The 13,263-nt window shown below is 37.3% G+C and overlaps 1 annotated feature.

The window, feature by feature from the left end:
• Positions 12,692 to 12,861: an enhancer, noted in NCBI's record as "experimental_107948 CRE fragment used in MPRA reporter constructs". NCBI's record gives its function as "activates a minimal promoter by MPRAs in K562 erythroleukemia cells, with activity observed for both the introgressed and non-introgressed 9:31164665 variant alleles {active_cell/tissue: K562}" and the evidence as "EXISTENCE:reporter gene assay evidence [ECO:0000049][PMID:34662402]".

Genomic DNA, 13,263 nt, shown 5'->3' on the forward strand with positions numbered 1-13,263 from the left:
GATGCTACAATTGTCTACATAGAAAATTCCTAAGAATCAACCAAGGAACTCTTGGAACTAAAAGGCAATTATAACAAGGTTGGAATACATAAAACCAATATACAAAAGTCAATTGCTTTCTTATATACCCACGATGAAAAATTGGTATTTGAAATTTAAAACATAATATCATTTAAACTTACACCAAAAAAAGGAAATCTTTCGTATAAGTCAAACAAAATATGTGCAAGATCTGTATGAGGAAAACTGCAAAACTCTGATGTAAGAAATAGAAGATATAAATAAATGGAGAGGTAGTATATGTACATAAGTAGAAAGATTCATATTGTCAAGATGTCAGTTCTTCACAATATGATTGTAGATTTGTTACAATCCCAATCAAAATCCCAACAAGTTATTTTGTGGATATTGATAAACATTCCAAAATTTATAGAGAGAAACAAAAGATCCAGAATAGCCAACACTAGATTGAAGGAGAAAAACAAAGTCAGAGGACTGACTCTGCCTGATTTCAAGACCTAGGATAAAGTTGCAGTATGAAAGACAGTGTAGTACCGGCAAAAAGATAGACAATAGATCTATGGAACAGAGTAGAGGATACAGAAATTGACCCACAGATATGTATTGCCTCTTGATTTTCTACAAATCTGCAAAGCAATTTCATGAAGAAAATAGAGAAAAGCTTCTAAACAAATGATGCTGAAACATTGGATAGCCAATATATGAATAAACTTCATATTTTACAGATAAAAAACTAAAAATGAAAGATAAAACTAAATATACATGTATACTTACAAAGATTACATAAAAACATGATATTTATAATTTGAAGTAAAGATGTATTAGATAAAGCACCAAAAGAGAACATACAAAATAAAAATAAAGATGTATTAGATTTCCAAAATTAGGAATCTTTGTTCTTTATAAGATACTACAAAAAGCATAAAAGGACAAGCCCCAGATTGGGACAAAATACTTGCAAATCACATATTAGGAACATACTTCTATCTATAATAACAAAGAATTCTCAAAGCCCAATAATAAGAAAACAAAGAGCTCAACAGAAATGGTGAGCCAGGCACGGTGGCTCAGGCCTGTAATCCCAGCACTGTGGGAGACTGAGGTGGACAGATCACCTGACCCCAGGGGTTCAAGATCAGCCTGGGTAACATGGCAAAATCACATCTCTACAAAAATACAAAAATTAGCCAGGCATGGTGGCATGCACCTGTAGTCCCTGTTACTTGGGAGGCTGAGGTGGGAGGATGGCTTGAGCCTAGGAGGTGGCGATTGCAGTGAGCCAAGGTGCCACTGCACTCCAGCCTGGGCCACAGAGCCAGACTTGGTCTCAAAAAACAAACAAACAATCAAACAAAAAAAAAGAAATGGTCAAACTATGTGAACAAATATTCATAAAGTGATGTTCAGGAAATGCAATTTTTTATTTTATGTGTTAATCAAGTAAATATTATGAAACATCTATGTGCCAATAATTATGCTACGTACAGAGGATCAGATATGACAGATATGAGAATGGTAAAATGCTGCCCTCATGCTTACAGTCCAGAAGAAATATTGGCACTCATTTAAATACAGTGAGAAAATGAGATGTCTAAATGCACATAATGATGCACTTAAGAAAATGAATGGCCAAACAAACATAAAGCATGCATGAAGAACTGAATTTCATCGGAGAGGATAAGGAAAGACATGCCAAGGAAGTGTCTTTGTGGTGAGAACTGAAAGACAGTGAAGATGTAAGCAGATGAGTCATCTATGATTTGGGTTAGATGAGAGGAGGTTCTAATATCTTGAAGACAGGCTCTCTAAGAAAGTGTAAGATGTTCAAAAAACCTACATAGTGTTCTCTCATCAGCATATTCTTGAAAATCTGTCTGCAAAAAGACATTTTTGTTTTCTGGGGATTTAGCACTCAACACACCTTTTAAAAAATCAGCTAAACGAAAAATCTCTCCTAGAATTTTAACAGTAAATTTTACTTTGTTCAGAACTTTAAAATATCTTATACTTCCCCAATATTTATTATTCCTTTGCTGCCTGGAAATACTTATTTGTACACACTTACCTATCCATATTCATGGTATTTCTATGTATTTACCTATGTATCTATCTATCTATCTATCTATCTATCTATATCATAAATCCTAATTTCTTAGTTTACTTAAATTGAATTGCATCTTATTTTTGTGCTTTTTTGATGTTATATATGTAATTTCTACAAACGACAAAGCACACAGTTCACAGCATACAGGTAATTTTTGGTCAGTGTAAGAATTGCCTAAGGATTGTTTCTAGACCTTTCTTCCCACATCATTTCAATTTTCTTCATTTTCTCATTTGCTCACATATGATTTTCTTCAGATTACTTTGTATTTAAGTAAATATATTTCCATGTTTTGTAAGGTTACCACATACTCAGAGGAACTTTGAACAATGTAGGACAGTTTATGTAAGAAATAATTACATTTAGCTTTATTTAGAGGTGAATATTGTGTTCTGAGTTTTCTTCATCTAGTTTTTTGAAATGTATTTTTCTTAGTTTGTGAATTTATTCAGCACTACTGTAAATGTTTTATATTTTATCATGCATTTTATTTAAAATTGATATAATACGTTAAAAAACTAATATTTTTGACCAGTTTTTATGGCCTTGGTAAATACATGTTTAAATTTTAAATAACTATATTAGATAGGTATTACTGGCTTTGTATTAGGGAAAAAAAACGACCAGAATCTTAATATCATCTATTACAATTCTAGCAATTATTACCTTATAAACTTCAAAACATATTATATAGATTTCAATGTCATTGTACATAAATCATAAATGAGTTTGACAGTTTTCAATATTGAAGTCTTCATGGTGAATCGGCTGATTCTGATAATAGCTGTTGCCATTTATAATTATTTAAATAGTTTGTAATTAGTTTAAATTAGGGTAAACTTCTACTACAGATACAATAATGGAGAATACAAAAATAAAATATATTAAAAACCCAACATGCACTCACACCTTAATATGTTACCAAATTCCTTTTTATTATTATTATTATTACACTTAAAGTCTTAGGGTACCTGTGCACAACATGCAGGATTGTTACATATGTATACATGTGCCATGTTGGTGTGCTGCACCCATTAACTCGTCTTTCAGCATTAGGTATATCTCCTAATGCTATCCCTCCCCACTCCCCCCACCCCACAACAGTCCCCAGTGTGTGATGTTCCCCTTCCTGTGTCCACGTGTTCTCATTGTTCAATTCCCACCTATGGGTGAGAACATGTGGTGTTTGGTTTTTTGTCCTTCCGATAGTTTACTGAGAATAATGGTTTCCAGCTTCATCCATGTCCCTACAAAAGACATGAACTCATCATTTTTTATGGCTGCATAGTATTCCATGGTGTATATGTGCCACATTTTCTTAATCCAGTCTATCATTGTTGGACATTTGGGTTGGTTCCAAGTCTTTGCCATTGTGAATAGTGCTGCAATAAACATATGTGTGCATGTGTCTTTATAGTAGAATGATTTATAATCCTTTGGGTATATACCCAGTAATGAGATGGCTGGGTCAAATGGTATATCTAGTTCTAGATCCCTGAGGAATCACCACACTGTCTTCCACAATGGTTGAACTAGTTTACAGTCCCACCAACAGTGTAAAAGTGTTCCTATTTCTCCACATCCTCTCCAGCACCTGTTGTTTCCTGACTTTTTAATGATCACCATTCTAACTGGTGTGAGATGGTATCTCATTGTGGTTTTGATTTGCATTTCTCTGATGGCCAGTGATGGTGAGCATTTTTTCATGTGTTTTTTGGCTGCATAAATGTCTTCTTTTGAGAAGTGTCTGTTCATGTCCTTCACCCACTTTTTGATGGGGTTGTTTGTTTTTTTCTTGTAAATTTGTTGGAGTTCATTGTAGATTCTGGATATTAGCCCTTTGTCAGATGAGTAGGTTGCAAAAATTTTCTCCCATTCTGTAGGTTGCCTGTTCACTCTGATGGTGGTTTATTTTGCTGTGCAGAAGCCCTTTAGTTTAATTAGATCCCATTTGTCCATTTTGGCTTTTGTTGCCATTGCTTTTGGTGTTTTAGACATGAAGTCCTTACCCTATGCCTATGTCTTGAATGGTATTGCCTAGGTTTTCTTGTAGGGTTTTTATGGTTTTAGGTCTAACATGTAAGTCTTTATTCCATCTTGAATTAATTTTTGTGTAAGGTGTAAGGAAGGGATCTAGCTTAAGCTTTCTACATATGGCTAGCCAGTTTTCCCAGCACCATTTATTTAATAGGGAATCCTTTCCCCATTGCTTGTTTTTGTCAGCTTTGTCAAAGATCAGATAGTTGTAGATATGTGGCATTATTTCTGAGGGCTCTGTTCTGTTCCATTGATCTACATCTCTGTTTTGGTACCAGTACCATGCTGTTTTGGTTACTGTAGCCTTGTAGTATAGTTTGAAGTCACGTAGCGTGATGCCTCCAGCTTTGTTCTTTTGGCTTAGGATTGACTTGGTGATGCGCGCTCTTTTTTGGTTCCAGATGAACTTTAAGGTAGTTTTTTCCAATTCAGTGAAGAAAGTCATTGGTAGCTTGATGGGGATAGCATTGAATCTATAAATTACCTTGGGCAGTATGGCCATTTTCATGATGTTGATTCTTCCTACCCATGAGCATGGAATGTTCTTCCATTTGTTTGTATCCTCTTTTATTTCCTTGAGCAGTGGTTTGTAATTCTCCTTGAAGAGGTGCTTCACATCCCTTGTAAGTTGGATTCCTAGGTATTTTATTCTCTTTGAAGCAACTGTGAATGGGAGTTCAGTCATGATTTGGCTCTCTGTTTGTCTGTTATTGGTGTATAAGAATGCTTGTGATTTTTGCACACTGATTTTGTATCCTGAGACTTTTCTGAAGTTGCTTATCAGCTTAAGGAGATTTTGGGCTGAGGCGATGGGGTTCTCTAGTTATACAATCATGTCATCTGCAAACAGGGATAATTTAACTTACTCTTAATTGAATGCTGTTTATTTCCTTCTCCTTCCTGATTACCCTGTCCAGAACTTCCAACACTATGTTGAATAGGAGTGGTGAGAGAGGGCATCCCTGTCTTGTGCCAGTTTTCAAAAGGAATGCTTCCAGTTTTTGTCCATTCAGTATGATTTTGGCTGTAGGTTTGTCATAGATAGCTCTTATTATTTTGAGATACATCCCATCAATACCTAATTTATTGAGAGTTTTTAGCATGAAGGGCTGTTGAATTTTGTCAAAGGCCTTTTCTGCATCTATTGAGATAATCATGTGGTTTTCGTCTTTAGTTTGTTTATATGCTGGATTACATTTATTGATTTGTGTATGTTGAACCAGACTTGCATCCCAGGGATGAAGCCCACTTAATCATGGTGGATAAGCTTTTTGATGTGTTGCTGGATTTGGTTTGCCAGTATTTTATTGAGGATTTTTGCATCAATGTTCATCAAGGACATTGGTCTAAAATTCTCTTTTTTGTTGTGTCTCTGCCAGGCTTTGGTATCAGGATGATGCTGGCCTCATAAAATGAGTTAGGGAGGCTTCCCTCTTTTTATATTGATTGGAATAGTTTCAGAAGGAATGGTACCAGCTCCTCCTTGTACCTCTGGTAGAATTCGGCTGTGAATCCATCTGGTCGTGGACTTTTTTTGGTTGGTAAGCTATTAATTATTGCCTGAATTTCAGAGCCTGTTATTGGTCTATTCAGAGATTCAACTTCTTCCTCGTTTAGTCTTGGGAGAGTGTATGTGTTGAGGAATTTATCCATTTCTTCGAGATTTTCTAGTTTATTTGTATAGAGGTGTTTGTAGTATTCTCTGATGGTAGTTTGTATTTCTGTGGGATCAGTGGTGATACCCCCTTTGTCATTTTTTATTGAGTCTATTTGATTCTTCTCTCTTTTCTTCTTTATTAGTCTTGCTAGTGGTCTATCAATTTTGTTGATCTTTTCAAAAAACAAGCTCCTGGATTCATTGATTTTTTGAAGGGTTTTTTGTGTCTCTATTTCCTTCAGTTCTGCTCTGATCTTAGTTATTTCTTGCCTTCTGCTAGCTTTTGAATGTGTTTGCTCTTGCTTCTCTGGTTCTTTTAATTGTGTTGTTAGGGTGTGAATTTTAGATCTTTCCTGCTTTCTCTTGTGGGCATTTAGTGCTATAAATTTCCCTCTACACACTGCTTTGAATGTGTCCCAGAGATTCTGGTATGTTGTGTCTTTGTTTTTGTTGGTTTCAAAGAACATCTTTATTTCTGCCTTCATTTCGATATGTACCCAGTAGTCATTCAGGAGCAGGTTGTTCAGTTTCCATGTAGTTGAGCAGTTTTGAGTGAATTTCTTAATCCTGAGTTCTAGTTTGATTGCACTGTGGTCTGAGAGACAGTTTGTTATATTTTCTGTTCTTTTACATTTGCTGAGGAGTGCTTTACTTCCAACTATGTGGTCAATTTTGGAATAGGTGTGGTGTGGTGCTGAAATGAATGTATATTCTGTTGATTTGGGGTGGAGAGTTCTGTAGATGTCTATTAGGTCCGCTTGGTGCAGAGCTGAGTTCAATTCCTGGATATCCTTTTTAACTTTGTCTCGTTGATCTGTATAATGTTGACAGTGGGGTGTTTAAGTCTCCCATTATTATTGTGTGGGAGTCTAAGTCTCTTTATGGTTCACTAAGGACCTGCTTTATGAATCTGGATGCTCCTGTATTGGGTGCATATATATTTAGGATAGTCAGTTCTTGTTGAATCGATCTCTTCACCATTATGTAATGGCCTTCTTTGTCTCTTTTGATCTTTGTGGTTTAAAAGTCTGTTTTATCAGAGACTAGGATTGCAACCCCTGCCTTTTTTTGTTTTCCATTTGCTTGGTAGATTTTCCTCCATCCCTTTATTTTAAGCCTATGTGTGTCTCTGCATATGAGATGGGTTTCCTGAATACCGCACACTGATGGATCTTGACTCTTTATCCAGTTTGCCAGTCTGTCTTTTAATTGGAGCATTTAGCCTATTTACATTTAAGATTAGTATTGTTATGTGTGAATTTGATCCTTATTCACACATAACAATACTATTTTGCTTATTTTGCTCGTCAGTCGATGCAGTTTCTTCCTAACCTCGATGGACTTTACAATTTGGCGTGTTTTTGCAGTGGCTGGTACCAGTTGTTCCTTTCCATGTTTAGTGCTTCCTTCAGGAGCTCTTTTAGGGCAGGCCTGGTGGTGACAGAATCTCTCAGCATTTGCTTGTCTGTAAAGTATTTTATTTCTCCTTCACTTATGAAGCTTAGTTTGGCTGGATATGAAATGCTGGGTTGAAAATTCTTTCTTTAAGAATGTTGAATATTGGCCCCCACTCTCTTCTGGCTTGTAGAGTTTCTGCCGAGAGATCCGCTGTTAGTCTGATAGATTTCCCTTTGTGGGTAACCCGACCTTTCTCTCTGGCTGCCCTTAACATTTTTTCCTTCATTTCAACTTTGGTGAGTCTGACAATTATGTGTCTTGGAGTTGCTCTTCTCGAGGAGTATCTTTGTGGCGTTCTCTGTATTTCCTGAATTTGAATGTTGGCCTGCCTTGCTAGATTGGGGAAATTCTCCTGGATAATATCCTGCAGAGTGTTTTCCAACTTGGTTCCATTCTCCCCGTCACTTTCAGGTACACCAATCAGACATAGATTTGGTCTTTTCACATAGTCCCATATTTCTTGGAGGCTTTGTTCATTTCTTTTTATTCTTTTTTCTTTAAACTTCTCTTCAACCTTCATTTCATTCATTTCTTCTTCCATCACTGATACCCTTTCTTCCAGTTGATCCCATCGGTTACTGAGGCTTGTGCATTCATCACATAGTTCTCATGCCATGGTTTTCAGCTCTGTCAGGTCCTTTAAGGCCTTCTCTGCATTGGTTATTCTAGTTATCCATTTGTCTAATTTTTTTTCAAAGTTTTTAACTTCTTTGCCATTGGTTCAAACTTCCTCCTTTAGCTTGGAGTAGTTTGATTTTCTGAAGCCTTCCTCTCTCAACTTGTCAAAGTCATTCTCCGTCCAGCTTTGTTCTGTTGCTGGTGAGGGGCTGCATTCCTTTGGAGGAGAAGAGGTGCTCTGATTTTTAGAGTTTCTGGTTTTTCTGCTCTGTTTTTTCCCCATCTTTGTGGTTTTATCTACCTTTGGTCTTTGATGATGGTGACATACAGTTGGGTTTTTGGTGTGGATGTCCTTTCTCTTTGTTAGTTTTCCTTCTAATTGTCAGGACCCTCACCTTCAGGTCTTCTGGAGTTTACTGGAGATCCACTCCAGACTCCGTTTGCCTGGGTATCAGCAGCGGTGGCTGCAGAACAGCGGATATTGGGGAACCGCAAATGCTGCTGCCTGATGGTTCCTCTGGAAGTTTGGTCTCAGAGGAGTACCCAGCCATGTGAGGTGTCAGTCTGCCCCTACTGGGGGGTGCCTCCCAGTTAGGCTACTCGGGGGTCAGGAACCCACTTGAGAAGGCAGTCTGCCCATTCTCGGATCTCACGCTGCGTGCTAGGACAACCACTACTCTCTTCAAAGCTGTCAGACAGGGACATTTAAGTCTGCAGAGGTTATTGCTGTCTTTTGTTTGTCTGTGCCCTGCCCCCAGAGGTGGAGCCTACAGAAGCAGGCAGGCCTCCTTGAGCTGTGGTGGGCTCCACCCAGTTCGAGCTTCAGGGCCACTTTGTTTACCTACTCAAGCCTGAGCAATGGTGGGCACCCCTCCCCCATCCTAGCTGCTGCCTTGCAGTTTGATCTCAGACTGCTGTGCTAGCAAATGAGCGAGGCTCCGTGAGCGTAGGACCCTCCAAGCCATGTGTGGGATATAATCTCCTGGTGTGCCGTTTGTTAAGTCCATTGGAAAAGTGCAGTATTAGGGTGGGAGTGACCCGATTTTCCAGGTGCCGTCTGTCATCCCTTTCTTTGACTAGGAAAGGGAATTCCCTGACCCCTTGTGCTTCCCGGGTGAGGTGATGCCTCACCCTGCTTCGGCTCAGGCACGGTGTGCTGCACCCACTGTCCTGCACCCACTATCTGGCAATTCCCGGTGAGAGGAACCCAGTACCTCAGTTGGAAATGCAGAAATCACCCGTCTTCTGCATCGCTCACGCTGGGAGCTGTAGATTGGAGCTGCTCCTATTCGGCCATCTTCTATATTACCAAATTCTTTCGTGGCCTATTTTTATTTCATTGTTAAATGTATCAGAAAAAAATAACTAATGGGTATTAGGGCTTAATACCTGTGTGACAAAATAATCTGTCCAAAAAAAAAAAATGACATGAGTTTACCTGTATAACAAGCCTGCGCATATACCAATGTAATATATTGATACTGTATATTAATTCCAAACTTAAAAGTGTGTATACATACTTTTAATACTTCCACAGATAGAAAGGGAGACAAGAGTGAGAAATTCCTCTGATATGATGAAGTTTATATTATTCAAATATGAACATTGACATGTTCCGTATTTTAAGATTTCTTCCTGTTTGAGGTCTTATATTTTGGAAAAAGTTATCTGGTTAGGAAACATACTAGATTTTTTTAGTGTTTACTGTTTTACTGAGGAACTTAATGACATTGAATGAATAACAGTGAATCCTTCAGGAGACTGAGGCGGGAGGATCATTTGAGTCTGGGAGTTAGAGTTTGCAGTGAGCCAAGATTGAGCCACTGCATTCCAGCTTGGGCAATAGAGTGAGATCCTGTCTTAAAAAAAAGAAAAAAGGGCATCTTTTCAGTTTTGCTTATTACATGATATTTTCAAACACTGTGTTAATCAAGGAATACTTTTGGAGTCATTACTTATTTTAGACCATTAGAAAAGATTAATTGCTTTTCATTTCAATATCAGCCATCTGGACGTTAGCTAGTTTGCATTTAAAATAATTTTTCTATGGGACAGTTAAGCCCAGGAAGTAATGTACTATGATAGCAATAAAATGTGTCCCTATATCTTTTAGCTATACTTGTATATTATTGTGCTAAAGGTGTTATTAATGGATGAAGACTCTTCTTTTCTCTACAATGACTTACATTACAACTTTCATGAGATCATACTTGCCATGTGTCATAATTATTTTAATTTATAATAAAGCTCTCTTTCTAATCAGTGACACATGGCAATAAGTAAAAGGACATTCAAATGAGTTAGCCATTATTTACTGCTTTTCTGTTCTAAATAATCAGTTACTTCTCAACTTTTCAAGCTGGGCCTCTATCTCAAACTCTACCATACTGGCATAGATAGATGGACGTGCTTTTCAAATTAAAGTTATGGAACATCAAGTAGGAAGTATTTTGTGAGTGTAAAAACCAACCTGACTGATGTTGAAGTTTTTATGAGTTAATTGTAACATATTTAAAATGCAAATATGGAAATTATTGCTTATAATGTAAATTTTATAACTTTTATATTTATAAAATATTGCTGGGTTTATAATAGGAATTGTATCAAAGCTATTTATTTGTGATAAATTTACATCTTTAATATATTTTTGAATCTTTAATACACAAACATGTTATAGCTCTTCATTTCTTAATAGATTTTTTGACTTCTTTCATCTGTGTTTTGTAGTTTTCATCAAACAAGTTCTGTGCATGTTTTGTTAGATTTCTACCTAACAATTTATTATTGAGCAATTGTAATTAATATTCTATTTTTAAATTATGTCTGCATATGTGTATTTCTGTAATATAGAAATTAATTACTTATGTTTATCTTGTAGCTTGCAAACTTTGTGAACTTACAAGCTTTCATGGTTTTTTTTTTTTGGTAGGTTCTTGGGATTTTATGTATATACAATTATGTTATCTGCAAATGGGAAGAATTTTATTCTTTTTAAATTGTATCATTTTTAATCCGTATGACTTTACTCTTTTCTTGCCTTTTTGCCCTGGTTAGAACTTCTAGCACCCTGTTGAATAAGATCTGTGAGAACTGTTGTTCTTGCATTGTTCCCCATAATAAGAGGAAACATTCATCTGTCCCTATTAAGGATGACATTCACTGGATGCTTTTTGTATTTTTATCTTGCTTTATTGCCCTGGCCACAATTTCCATACAATGTTGAATAGAATGGGTGAGAGCAGGCATCTTCGTATTGTCTCTGATATTTCTGGAAAAGTATTCAGGCTTTAACTATTAAGTATAATAGCAGCAGTGGGTTATTCAGAGATGCCCTTTATCAGGTTGAGAAATGTTGCTTCTTCTCCCAGATTGTTCATTGTTTTTATTATAAAAATGTGTTAGATTTGGTCAAATGCTTTTTCTGTATATCTATTTGTATGATCATTTGATTTTTGTTTTTCATTCCATTGATGTGATATATTATTTCAGGATGTTTAATCAACTGTGCATTCTTGGGGTAAATCTCACTAAGTTATAATGTATATTTTTAATATGCTGCTAGATTTGGTTTGTTAATATTTATTAACGATTTTTGCATCTGTATTCAGGAGATAATTTTCTGTAGCTTTTTGTTCTTGTGATGTCTTTCTCTGGTTTTTGTATCATGGTAAAGCAGGCCTTATAAAATTAGTTGGGAAATATTCTCTCCTCTTCTGTGTTTTGGAAGAGTTTGTACAAACTCTCCTTTTAAAAAAATGGATAGAATCCAATAGTCTAGACCTATATTTTACTTTGTGGGTAATATTTTATTACTATTTTAATCACTTCACTTGTTATAGGTATATTTAAATTGTCTATTTTTGTTGATATAATTTTATGGATATAGTTTGTATCTTATAAGGTCTATAATAATGTCCCTTATTTCTTTCCTTTTTTCCTTTCTTCCTTCTTCCTTTCAAATGTATACCTTCTTTTTTGTTAATTAGAAAATATCTGGCAACACTGGGTCCACATTCTCACAGTCTACAGATGACTTAAGTGATAAAGAACTTCCTTTATTTGTTGTGGTATACACATACCAGTTTACCACTGTCCCCACCACCCTTGTCTCCTGACACTAAGATAATCTCCCAGAGCCATCTCTCAGGTATATCCACCCATGCTCACATATGCTGCCAGCCTGGTCACTAAAAGATCTTGGAGTTGCCCAGCTCCAGATCAACAGGTATGTTTGGGAGGAGATTGTAAAGGGCTACACAGGTCCAGGGAGCCAACTCTCCTCACAGAGAAAAGAAGTCCTTGCAGTCACAGGCATTGAACTTCAAGGTTGCTGTCAGTGGACAGGCCCAACATCATCTCCTACCATCCCAGGAAACTAGAGATGCTCAGCCACAAGGCATAGCAGAGGCAAAAAGAAAGCAGATGTGGCTGATGGAAAAGCTCCTCAATCTTGCAGGACACTATCAAGTGAGTTGATTTCCATTTAATGTTGGTGAGGAAAATCCTTGGGAGTAATACAGTGTGATTTTCTTTCCCAGAGATGTGTAGAGGGAAGGGGTCTCTAGAGGTGTTTCAGAGATTACTTATAGCAACAGTGCTTCAATCCAGAACGGCTGGGCATATGCCCTGGGGAAAAGCTGGTTATCCTCATTGGCTTGTCCTCTCCCACAACCAGTTCAGTGGGGTGAGTGTCCATCAGTTTTGGTGGGAATGAATCAGGGAGAGAATAGATAAGAAAGAAATGTGAGGAGACAAAATAGCAATGACCACAAATGGGAATGGATCCACTATTCCCTAGATCTGGGATACTGGAGGAAAATCTAAATTAGAGATAAGACTACAATGTGATTCCTGAAGAACCAGGATTAACACCTACCTGAAGAGGACCCTCCTTATGATGCTGATGAGAGATTGGCACAGAAATCAGAACCTGCATCCCAGAGGCCCTCCCTGAGGAACTCAGCCATGGGGAGAGTTAATAGAGAGCACCCACCTGCCCCAGCATGGCCGTCACAACAACTCTGTCTTGGGAAGTGAGGTTTCTTATGAAATAAGGAGAAATGAGGAAAGCATCTCCTAGAACGCTGAGGAAGAAAGACAGGGATTTGTCCATTAGGCCCATTTATGTCTGAGGACACAATACAGACCACACAATAACTAACTCAAACTTAATTAGATAATTCATAAAAATAATTCCTGAGTAAAAAGAAACTGATTCAGGGATGCCTGAACTGGAAAGGAAGACAGGGACTTGGGGCCAGGGCTGAGGCAGGAAGAAGCCAATGTACCCAAACCCTGCTTGCTGGCCTCCCGAGAGGAGCAGAACCCTGGAGGTGGTAGACTCAGGCCAGAGGCCTTCTACTGGCAA

The sequence above is a fragment of the Homo sapiens genome, chromosome 9, assembly GCF_000001405.40.
Source record: "Homo sapiens chromosome 9, GRCh38.p14 Primary Assembly".
NCBI lineage: Eukaryota > Metazoa > Chordata > Mammalia > Primates > Hominidae > Homo > Homo sapiens.